General features: G+C 39.1%; 1 protein-coding gene across 1 annotated transcript in view; it reads right to left on the bottom strand.

Annotated features, from left to right (window-relative positions):
* Positions 1-1,589: 1,589 nt before the first annotated feature.
* The window catches only part of QPCT (glutaminyl-peptide cyclotransferase), a 28,693-nt gene continuing 17,908 nt past the window's right edge, over positions 1,590-12,374 (bottom strand). Inside the window, exons 4-7 of the mRNA NM_012413.4 lie at positions 7,504-7,680; positions 5,128-5,227; positions 2,440-2,556; positions 1,590-2,230 (exon numbers count right to left, since the gene is read on the bottom strand). Of these exons, the coding sequence (NP_036545.1) occupies positions 2,085-2,230; positions 2,440-2,556; positions 5,128-5,227; positions 7,504-7,680 (540 nt within the window). The 3' untranslated portion in view covers positions 1,590-2,084. The remainder of the gene's footprint in view (positions 2,231-2,439; positions 2,557-5,127; positions 5,228-7,503; positions 7,681-12,374) is intronic.

Genomic DNA, 12,374 nt, shown 5'->3' with positions numbered 1-12,374 from the left:
TTCTGTATAGTTCTTTTCATGTAAATGGGCAATATTCTAGAATGGTTCCCAAGTATAAGCTTTAGAGCTAGACTTCTTGGGTACAACTCCCACTATTACCACTTACTAGTTATGTAATATTGGAAAATACACTTAACTACTCTGAGCATCATAAAGTAAGCTTACTAACACCTACCTCACACAATTGTTGTGGGGATTAAGTTAGTAAAACATATAAAGCATATGTGACTCTGTCTGGCACAGAGTTAGCACTCAGTCTAAGTGTTAGCTCTTAATATCATTAATTCACAAACACACGACTTTCATTTACATGACTTTGGAAGGACATTTAGAAAATAAAAAAGAATCCTAGAAAAATCTAATTCTGTAAAATTTACCAACATGAAATTATAGACAGGTAATGTTATATATAAGTATATATAAATGTAATATATATTTATCTATAAATGTTATATATAGCATAGAAAATACCTAAGTATACATATATAATTCTGGCTATATTCTATATAATTTACATAGTCAAATTGATGAAATTATTTTTATCCTTTTCTTACCTGAAAACTATGTTTTAGCAAGTAAATTACTTTCCCAATGACTTCCATTGTCATTCGGCACATTAATTCACTGAGTATTTACTAAATGTCTTGTCCGAACAGGGAACACACAGAAGACAGTGGCCCCAACTAACTTCATCTGTATGCCAGGAACGATTTCCTAATTATTTAATTGATCAAGTTTGTATTTCTAGATAATTGTTTCCTATAGCTAAAGACAACTTATGAATGCCTATGTATTTCCAGAAAAAAATGCTCTAAGTAACTAACCGAACGAATACCATATAATCTATCTACACAAAAATTGTCACAACTACTGCAGTACTACTGTGTTACCTTAATGTTGACTCTAGAGTTCACATTCAGCAGTCTTTTTCTGTCCTCACCTCAATCCAAAACCAAAACAGCAAATATATGCCTGGTAATCACATAGTTTAACAGGAAAAAACAGGCCAAAAAATTGTAATACAGTTTGATTATACCTTTATAAGAAAAATCTGCATTTAAGAAATGTGAGGAGGCTGGATGCAGTGGCTCGTGCCTATAATCCCAGCACTTTGGGAGGCCAAGACAGGAACAATGCTTGAGCCCAGGAGTTCAAGACCAGCTTGGGCAAAATGGAGAAACCACATCCATACAAAAATACCAAAAAAATTAGCCAGGCAAAAAAATTAGCTAGGTAGTGCATGCCTGTAGTCCCAATCACTCGTAGGGTGGAGGTGAGAGGATCGCTTGAGCCGAGGAGGTCAAGACTGCAGTGAGCCATGATCATGCCACTGCACTCCAGCCTGAGCAACAGAGTGAGACCCTGTCTCAAAAAAAAAAAGAAAAAGTGAGGAAAAACTAAAAAGCGAACTAATGGTGATTCTGTTAATATAATGGGATTATAGTTTTCTTCTTTTCTCCATTTTCCAAAATGTTTGTTATTGACTATTATTTTTACAATGAGAACGTTAAATTTGCAAAATCCTATAAAAATTGGACTATGCATTAAATTATATCACTATTTTTATATATAAAAAAGACATCACAACATAGCATTTAATTCTGATTTTAATTTCCATAAAATTAACTCTACAAAGATTTCTCAAAGAAATCTGACCGCCTTCAAACTACATGTTTGTTTTGTATTACATGTAATAGATTTCCACATATGAAAAAATCATAAAATGAAGGCTACGTTTTCCAACCGCTATTTAAGTACTGTTGAGAAACTATCGTTGAATGAATGAACCTGATTTTGCCTCATCGTGTTTATCTAAAAGAGTCTTTGAAAGATATTTATTTTCCATTTTCTTTACACGGTCCCTCTTTTTCAATCTGTAAATAAAAATTAATGAGCAATTTAGGACACAATATCACAACACAATTATTCTGTAATTGATCTGATAACCAAAGACACATAAGAATAGGATGATCTATAGGATAGATGTTTCCACACAGCATTTGTCTGAAATCAGATTATTTTAAATGATGCCTTGACTTTTGAATTCAATTCTAGAACCAATTATCCTAAACTAAATCAGAGTATTACAAATGAAGATATTCCAACACAAAGACTTGTAGGATTTTGTTTAGATTGTCAATGGTTGATTCATCCAAATTTTCTTCATTGTCATCCATGGTGTGCCAGACTTCAGGGAAAGGAGACGGTATCAGATGCAGAACTGGAACACCTATTAAGAAAGAACCAACTTGTAACAATGTGCATTACTCCAGTGAGTAAACTAGAAAGGGTCATTCTTCAAGCAGAGGGAGCTCTGTACCACATAAAGACAGCTGATAATTCATCATCATCTGTGTACTTTCTCATATCCCACCGTTGTACTCCAAAATCAGGCTGTGCACGCACACACACACAAACACACACACACACACACATTACCTCTTCTTAAAAATGGAATATGGTCATCCTGAATCACACCTCCATAACTGTAATTCTGGAAATACCGCCCCTCCAAAGAGTGATCCTTGAGCAAACCCAATTCATGAAGTTCATGTTCTGTAGATGACAATTATACAGTAAATGAACAACTATTTTTATCTTATCAAGACTCATAATGTATCCTTATTTAAGGAGTTTGAAATCTTAGCACATGTGTCCATAATTTGTAAAAGATTATGCAACAGCAAGCATGGCCACACCCATGACAATAAACATCTGGGTTGAACAGGGATGTGTACACTTTGGAGCAGGAAGAGAGAAGAGTCAAATGTGGCTCTAAACTTACAGGTGAGAACCTCCTTAGAGGTAGAAACTCCACAGAACAGTGAAGAGATAGAGAATGAAAAAAACAGAGGACAGGTGGGTGGAAGGGGACAACACAGGTGCAGGTGTAGATGCTTATAGGTCCAAGATGCTGCATGAAGAATGCCTTAGATGAGATATGGGGCTTAAAAGGGGAATACTCAAACAGAGTAGAGATGAAGTATATCAAGTGGCCACTCTATGGGAAAGAGATACCTAGTGTGACCTACATCAGTGGTTCTCAAAGTGTGATGTCTGACCAGCAACATCAGCAACACCTAGGAACGTGTCAGAAATGCAAATTATCTGGTCCCATCTCAGACTTACAGAAATTCTGGGGCTGGAGTCCAGCAATCTGTGTGGAAGAAGCCCTCCAGGTGATTCTGATGCACTTTAAAGTTTGAGAACCACTGGCCTACATAAGTCATGTATTGTATGTTACAAGATGACAAGAGATTACATGAATATTATAAGACAACCAAATGAAACTTCCTAGGATAGCTAGGAACTAGCTAAGGTAAAACTAAACCAACTAGTAATCAATCATATGTAATATGATTCTAGAAACATTGAGAAAGCCCTAACTACCACCAAAAACAATATTCTTGTCTGTTTATTGATACTTATAATTCCTTTACCATGAGACACAACTTTTTCTTTTTTTTTTTTTTTTTTTTTGAGATGGAGTCTCGCTGTCGCCCAGGCTGGAGTGCAGTGGCGCCACCTCAGCTCACTGCTTTCTCTTATACAACTAGAGATATGGTTTGAAATGTAAATACCAATAGGAGGGGCACAATGGGTTAAAATTGAATGAAGGTGCAAGTTATTGGCATAAGTTCATTCTGGTACAGGACATAATAAAAGTGCACAAAATCCTTGAAAGAAAGCCAAACTCAGTTTCTCAAGGCTACCATCAAAGTAAGGAAAATATGCTGCAAGGAAGAAGCCCAAGAAGTTTATATTAATAACACCATTAGAGTAACTCTTTCAAACTAGGAAATGAAATTTGTCAATGACATGCACCTAAAGTTCAAGCAGAAGTTTCTCTAAGATTCTAGACAAATTCTTTACTCATGGCAAAAGTGTGAGTTATGATGGCAGTGTTTTTCCCACTGTTAGAAGTAATACAAGTCTATCTTGCTCCAAGAAGTTTGTGTGGCTAGTAAGGAATTTCTAGCATGAAATTCTTGCCTTCAAAGCAGCCCCCTGGCCTGGATTCTACAATAAAGATCAATCTCATTTTCATCTTTCCCTGATGCCTGCCAAGAGTTTGCTTTGTTTTGTTTTGTTTTGTTTTGGGTAGGGTGGTAGTACAAAGTTATTCTCCTTTTCTTTCTCCAAGCCCCAAGCTCCCCTCTTCAGCCATAGATACGTATGTTTCTTGGGCTGGCCTGACCTGACCTGGTCTGGCCTAGTCAACTCCCATTTATTTGACTCTAAATCTCAAAGGATCTGGCTTTCTCTTTATCCTGATCTCTTGCTTCTTTGGAAAATTGGCAGAGACTGTACTAGATTTAAAGGAAAATAATATCTGGATAAGGTAGAAAATAGAAGATGGCAAAGACAGAGATGGAAAAGAAAAACTGAAGAATATCTTTTGGTATCATTATAAGGACATCATATTCATCATTAGCCAGCATGCTTTGTTGAGTAAACTTTTCTCTCGAAACGCATTCTACCTGCTTCAAACAGGACTCTGGGAAAATATTTTCAAATATTTTCAAACCATTTTTAAGGATGTGCAAACATGAAATGTAGTATTTTATGTTTCCATTTCAAAATATAGTTTCATGCAGGAAAATAAACTGGGCTTACTACAAAGATGAAAAGAATAATAAACTAATCAATTAAGCAAGAAAAAAAGCCAATAAAGTATATTACACATTTAAATCATATACTTAAATTATAATTTTTTTTTCTTTTTTGAGATGGCGCCTCACCCTGTCACCCAGGCTGGAGTGCAATGGCACCATCTTGGCTCACTGCAACTTCTGCTTCCCAGGTTCAAGTGATTCTCATGCCTCAGCCTATCAAGTAGCTGGGATTACAGGTGCCCGCCACCACACCCAGCTAATTTTTGTATTTATTTTGTATTTGTTTAGTGAAACCCCGTCTCTACTAAACATGAAAGCCCTGTTTCATGTTGGCCAGGCTGGTCTCAAACTCCTGACCCTAGCTGATCTGCCTGCCTTGGCCTCCCAAAGTGCTAGGATTACAGGTGTGAGCCACTGCGCCCAGCCAAATTATAAATTTTAAATGTTAAAAATGTAGTATCTGTCAGTAGCAAGAAATGATGTTTTATTCATTAATAACAGTGGTGCTTACCAATTGCTTGAAGTCTTTCGAACCACCTGGCTGAGTTTGGAAAAAAATTGGGAAACGTTGGGTTTGGAGCTCCAATCAAATCCAATAAGACCAATAAATCCTGAGGGAGAAAAAGTAATGTTTAATCACCATCACCAAAACGTGTTTTATATTCATCAACAGGGAAATACAATCAGTCAAAATTAACTGCATTTCAGTAATTGAGAATAATATGGCAAGCTATATGAATGAACCAAAGATTTACTAACATTTTATGCTAATTATTTTGGAGAACTCTTTAAATCTTGCTTATGTAATGTGGACAAATAGCAAAATATTGATTATTTGTGTATGTAACTCCAAAAGGATATCACTAAGGATAAATTAGGAAGAAGACATTTGGATGAATATTTTGTGAACATTAAAAGCATACATTTATTTTCAGAAAGGAGTCCAAGCCTATCTGATCTTCTAATCCACTCTGTTTAGCCATTTTATCCTTAATCTGTAATGATAAAACTCTCAAAGGAAGGCACTTGGACAGTAACTATTTATTGATCAAGTAGTATCTAAGAAAAATTCCTTGTACAGGAGCTATATAACATTGTGTCTCTGGATCTCCATTTCCTTGTGTATCAAATAAGAAGCTCAAACTAGCTGATCTCTAAAGTTTCCTTCTGGTTATAGCTCTCTTTCATCTCATCACGAGGACTCTCTGAAGACTACTCACTAGATTAAGACCTCCTCATTTATCTAAGTAAAATAATGTGTGGATAAATATTTAGCATACATCCTAACACATATTAGATAAATATTTTCAGAGTGTGTGATCCTAAAGACATAGTATGAAAAAATTCATGAATGAAAATTCAATATATTCATCATAGGAAAAAATAGGCTTCTTTGAAATAGGAACATATTCACAAGGTTGGTTAATCTATTAAGGGTTTGTTTCTGGAAAAAAATGATCTTCATTCAACAAATTTATTTATCAGTCCAAATATATGAATCACTGTGGCTTCATATATTTGGACTGATAAATAAATAACTTTGTTCTACTGCTGATCAACCAGGCGTCTCCTCTTGTGAATATGTTCTGAATGCTTTTTGGGCACTTGGGCACAAGTGAATGAATGATATGCTGACCACATTCCCCTGGCCCATTAGGAGCTGCCAATGGATAACAGGAGGGAGAGCAAATGCCAACAGGAGGTGTGTTAGGGTCACAGAGGACACAGAATGTGACCATTTGTACTTTTATAGGGCGAAGGTCAGTGATAGGGCAATGGATAGGAATAAGCGGGGGTGCTGGGAATAAGCTATCAGTTCACAGATGGGGTGAGCGTCAGGGAGGGATGAAGGCACCGGGGCTAGTGAAGTCTCAAGGGTAGCATGAGGTTCCAAGCTGGGGTTAGTGAAGACGTGGGGACAGAAAGAAGATCAAATATGGGAAGAGAGTCAGAGTCAGGAGAAGATGCAGGGGTCGGGGGAGGGATTAGGGATGGAGTGTGGGCCCAGGAATGGGGATGAAAATGAGGCTGTGTGTTGCACTCATTACTTAGTAATAATAGCAGGGTTTTAAGGCAGCATCAAAATATCCCCACCCCCATGTCAAAAATGCCACATCAAAACCAACACATCAAACTGTCATAGTCACACTGGAGTCACGGTAATACTTTGAAGCCACCAAGGAAATTCTTCACCCTCACCCCTCTTTTATTCCATTTCCCAAAGCCCCATGTTCTTCAGACTTATAAAGGCCTGAAAGAAGGGGTTTGCTCTCTCCACCTCCATACAGTACTGGGGGAATGTGCTCCCATTGGGCCCAACTGAATCTGAAGTTCCTGTAATCCAATTTTTTACATGATTTTATCATTTTAATTAAGCTCAGTCAAACATGGCTTCTAACCAGCAATTTTTCTTTCTTTCTTTCTTTTTTAACAGAGTCTCCCTCTGTCACCCAGGCTGGAGTGCAATGGAGCAATCATAGCTCACGGCAGCCTCGAACTCCTGGGCTCAAACAATCCTCCTGCCTTAGCCTCTTGAGTAGCTAAGATTACAGGCATACACAACACCCAGCTAATTATTTTATTTGTTGTAGAGACGAAGTCCCCTTATGTTGCCCAGTCTGGTCTCGAACTCCTGGGCTCAAGTGATCCTCCCACCTCAACCTCCCAAAATGCTGGGATTACAGGTATGAGCCACAGAGCCAGCTCAGAATCATTCTTTTTAGCTCTGGGATTCCTCAAAAACCCAATGCCTGCCAAGGAATGTTCTATCATAAACACTGTGCTCCAAGGATGCTGTGGCATTTTTAGGTCTTTACTTGGCTTTTGCAACCTTTTCCTTGGAAGCGGAGCCTACAGCTACAGTGCTAGGGAAATTGCCCAGACTAACCATGCCATGCAGTTGGCTGGTGCCTCTCGCTCCAGGTGGGTGCGGGGTCGATGCCATCTTTGCAGCTAAGTGTCGAGACCCATAGAGAGAATCTTGAGGAGACCAGTGAAGAAAAGCCTCTTCACCATCAAAGAAGATCAGCTGGAGTGACAAATCTGGCTTGGAGTCTGAAACAGTCTGGTAAAAACAACAATAAAAACATAGCAAAAAAATACTGTGATGATGAAAAATAGCATGATTTTCTATTAATTGGGCAAAAAGATAGATGTGCCATAAAGAAAGGAAGATACCAAAGCAAGTGAAACTATGGCAAAATTTATTCCACACCACTTCCTCTTCAAAAGTCATCACACCTCCCACAGTCTTCACCCATATAAACCACCTTCTTCCATTCCCTCTGAAAATAGAAGTCTTTTATATTTTTTCTTACTCCTCACAGAATTTTGAAACAATGAAAGTGCTGTGATGAATCGTGTGATACACCACCCACTTCCCATACAGGAGGGTGTGTTGCCTCAGCTGCTGGAAGAGCCGTCAGTCACTTTAGGAATTGCCTCAGCTGCACCTCCTGGGAGTGTCCCACATCCAGTGCTGACCTACACGGGTACGGGGGGCTCTCTAAAGAGCCATCATATCTCCAGAGCTCCGCAGGGGTTGGCTGAGGCCGTTGTTGAACCTGCACTGCAGCTCGACTTCTTCCTCCGTCCAACACCATTTCTTTCCCCTCCCTGATACCTGTGTTGATCCAAGGCCACTCCCTAATAAGTGACCTGAATACTAAACTCCATGTCAGAGGGCGCTTCTTGGGGAATCCAACCTGAAACAACTGTAAATCTTTCTTGCTTCTCACCTTATTTACATCTTCAATTTTGTACTGAGTCTAGCTTCAAGAGTCTGCCCTAGGAATGCTACAGACACGAAGAATAATAATTATAGCCCTTCCCTTGAAATAGCCTATACTTTAGTTGGGTTGGGGAGAGATAAAACAAATACATAAGCATGGCAAAATGTGCCACCAGCCACAAATGTAACATTAAAGTCCTCTAGAAATTGGATAGAATGAGAAGCAAAATCCTGGGGGTGTCAAGGAGGGCTTTATGAAAAAGACAGTATTTGAATGGAACTAAAAAGAGTGACTAGGATTCTAACTGATTTTACACTTTCCTCCGTCTGACAATAACCCCTGTCTTTCAGATTGGTCCTGGTACTCTAAACTCCAAAGTCCTTCAATCCCACTGGAACCCCTAATCTACTGAATGTTTCACCTTTTCATGGTCCTTCACCCCCATAATGTCCTCACTTCACTCTATATTTGGCTTAAATTCCAGTCAATCATGCCAATCACTCACTAGCATACACCCTCAACTCCCTTGCCCCTTTCTGCCTTTGTCAAACTTTCATGGCAAAAACATACTCTACCTACTTTGTGCCAGCACTCGTGCAGCTAAACCTCACCAGAGAAAAAAATATATAACCACACTGTCTGGCCTTGCTTAAAGTTCATGACCACAAACCTCACATTGGCCTTTCATGTTGACTGGCAAGTCATTTGTATTTTCTTAGTTCAGTCACTCTGGCACTCTTCTAGGATTTCACATTCCTCCTCTCCCTGCCACCTCACCCATCTTCATTCCCAACCGATGACCTTGATTTCTTTCTGTCATGCTCATATCAGATGCCAGTCTCCCTGCTTATGCACAAAATCCTATCCTCTCTCATCTGCTCAAGGACATTGCTCTAGCAAATACCATTTCTCTCCTACATCATCAATTTTTCTATCTCTGCTGGATAATTCCCATCGGCCAACAAACATGCTGTTGCTTTTCTCATCTTAAAATATTTGACCTCACTATCTCCACCATCTACTGCCCAATTTTGTAATCCCATTTATAGCAAAACCCCTTGAAGGAGTTGTCTATTCACGCTGTCTCCAATCCCACTTCTTAAACTTAGCCCAGTTGGGTTTTATCTCCACCGTGTACTGAAACTGCTCTTGTCAAGACACCAATGACTCTACATGGCTACATCCAGTGGTCAACTCTCAGTCTTCATCTCTCTTGACTTATTGTCAGCATTCAACACAGTTAATTACTCCCTCCTGGCTACACTTGCTTCATTTGGTTCCTAAGATACCATATTCCTCCTACCTTAGCACTAATGGCTCCCTTCATCTCCCTTCCCTCTTCACACTAGAGAGCCTCAGGGGCTTGCTCCATGGTTCTCTTCTCTTCTCTGTCCACACTCACTCACTGTCTTGATATCTCTTCTTGAGGCTTTAAATCATATATGTGTGGGTATGTGTGTGTTGTCTTGTGTGTGTGTGTGTGTGTGCTGTGTTGTGTGTGTATTGTTATATATATAAAATTTTTAATATAATTATTTTAAAATAATAATAATAATAATAATATTGTAGAGGCGGAGCCTTAGTATGTTGCCCAGGCTGGTCTCTCTATATATACATATTATATGTTATATTATATTGTATTATATTATAATAATACACACACACAACACAACACACACATACATGTAAATATCAATTCCAAAAAATATATCTCCAGCCCTGACTTCACTGCCGATCTCCAGACTACAATTTCAGTTGCCAAATGAAGATCTCCACATAGACGTTAATAGACACCTCGAACAAAGTGTCAAAACTCATCTCCTGAGGTTCCCCCGGAAATCTGTATTACCAACAGTCTCTTCAACCAAATGGATGGCAAAACCCCCCTTGCAGTTACTCAGACCAAAAACCAGTGGGGATCTGTCTCTTTCTGTCCTTTTCCATGTACACAAACATCGCAATCCAGTTCGTCCTGCCTCTGCAAACCTGTTTCCCACCATTCCTCACCACAGGCCTCTCTTTCATTTGCTTTGTTTTCTTTGAGCCTAATATGTCTTCACCATTATGTGGTCAAGCGTTCCAGACACTATCACACCTTTATTTCTCATGTCTGTCTGGTTTTGTTTTTTAAGAATGGGCCCTTCCGGAGCCCTCTGCTGCCTGCTCCAGCCTGGACCGACCACTAGGCCTGCTGCCTATCTGTTTGTTATCTTGGGGCTCCCCTCACCATCAACCTGCAGATTTCTGCCTCTCCTATATGGGACCCCCAGTGAGCTGAACTCCATGACTCCCTCATCCTTGATTTCTTTCTTGATTTTTCTGGAGCACAGCTTTAAGCAACTTCTAGGGCAAAAATACAGTACATGGGAGTGAAAATTGTTGAGATTTACCTCTGAAAATGTCTTCATTCTATTTTCCTATTTAATTTTTCTGGGTCTGAAGATTCTGGGTTGCAAATTATTTTTATTTAAAATATTTAAGGCATAATTTCATTGTTTTCTAGCTCCCAAAGTTTCTATTGAGAAGTCCAGTGCCATTCTCATTCCCAATACTTTTTATATGACCTAACTGGAATTGTTACAATTATTCTCCAAAAGTCATAATCGTCTCCTTTTTGTCATTCCTCTTCTAAAAAAAGATACTTCTTCTACTTTAGGATCCAACTGTTTTATTGATTTATTTATTTTGAAAATAGAAATTTTAATTTCCAAAAGCTCCTCCTTATTGACCAATTGTTCTGTTATTGCAGCATTCTGGTTTTGTTTCATAGATATAATGTCTCCTCTTATCTCTGTAAGAATATTAGAACAGTGTCCTTTAAGTCATTTTCTGCTCTATTTCCTCCCACTTCATTTTAAATTTGTATGATTTGTTTTGCTTTCTATTTTTTTTTTTTTTTTTTTTTACATTTTAAAAAAGTATTTATTTATTTAAGAGACAGGGTCTCACTCTGTTGCCCAGGCTGGAGTGCAGTGGCTCAATTATAGTGCATTGCAGCCTTGAACTCCTGGGCTCAAGCAATCCTCCTGCCTCAGCCTCCCAAGTAGCTAGGATTACAGGTGTGTACCACCATAACCAGCTAATTTTTTTTTTTTTTTTTTTTTTGTAGAGAGGGAGCCTCACTATGTTGCCCAGGCTGGTCTCAAACTCTTGGCCTCAAGCAATCCTCCCACCTCGGCCTCCCAAAGTGCTAGGATTACAGACATGAGCCACTGCTCCAGGCCCTTTCTTTCATGCTGGAGTCTGTCCTCAAATGTCTGGTCATCCTTTGTGTTCATTCATGTTAAAGAATAAGATATTAAAATGCTGGTTGGAGACACAGATTGGTTGGCTTCACTGCAAGGCAATCTGGTGCCCAGCCAGTGTTTTCACTGAGGATTACTGAATGTCACCATCTGGGATTTTTCTGCGGGGTGGTTCACACGGTCTGAAGAAGAATCCTCCAGTTTCCTATCTGATGGCTTTCTGGTGCTGAAGATGGGAGAGAAACTATAGATCTCACTGTTCAATGTGTAGGCTTTCGCCTAATCTCCCCGATTTCCATGGGGTGCCCCACTGTCACCCTCCTGTATACTTGCTATTCTCAATTCCATAACCTCCCTGGTTCAATTTCTCCAGAAAAATATTTTCTCATCTGTGGCAAAGGCACAAGGGGGCACTCACTTACCTGCCTGGTGTGGGGTGGGAATCTCTACATCCACATATTCCTTAGACAGACTTAGAAACACTCTCCACACCAGCCCCTTCCTCACCTCTGCCTTCCTCAGCTTATCACATCTCTAATTCCTGAGCCTTTTTAGGATTCTATCAAGGAAACCACTGGCTTCTTCCATTTCTTCCCTCTCCAGGACAGTGTGACTTCTCTCCACTCTGATATGTCATCTGCCATTTCTCCATCCAACTTCTGTCTTCATATTGTGGTTCCTATTCACAGATGTTCTCTACTTTCTTCAAAAAATGGAGTTTCCCTGATTGTTTTAACGGTGATTTCAAAAGAGAAAAAAATTGTCTTTATCATCTGAAAACT

The sequence above is a fragment of the Homo sapiens genome, chromosome 2, assembly GCF_000001405.40.
Source record: "Homo sapiens chromosome 2, GRCh38.p14 Primary Assembly".
NCBI lineage: Eukaryota > Metazoa > Chordata > Mammalia > Primates > Hominidae > Homo > Homo sapiens.
Note: the sequence above shows the minus strand (reverse complement) of the source record. Positions and strands in the feature narration are given on the sequence as shown.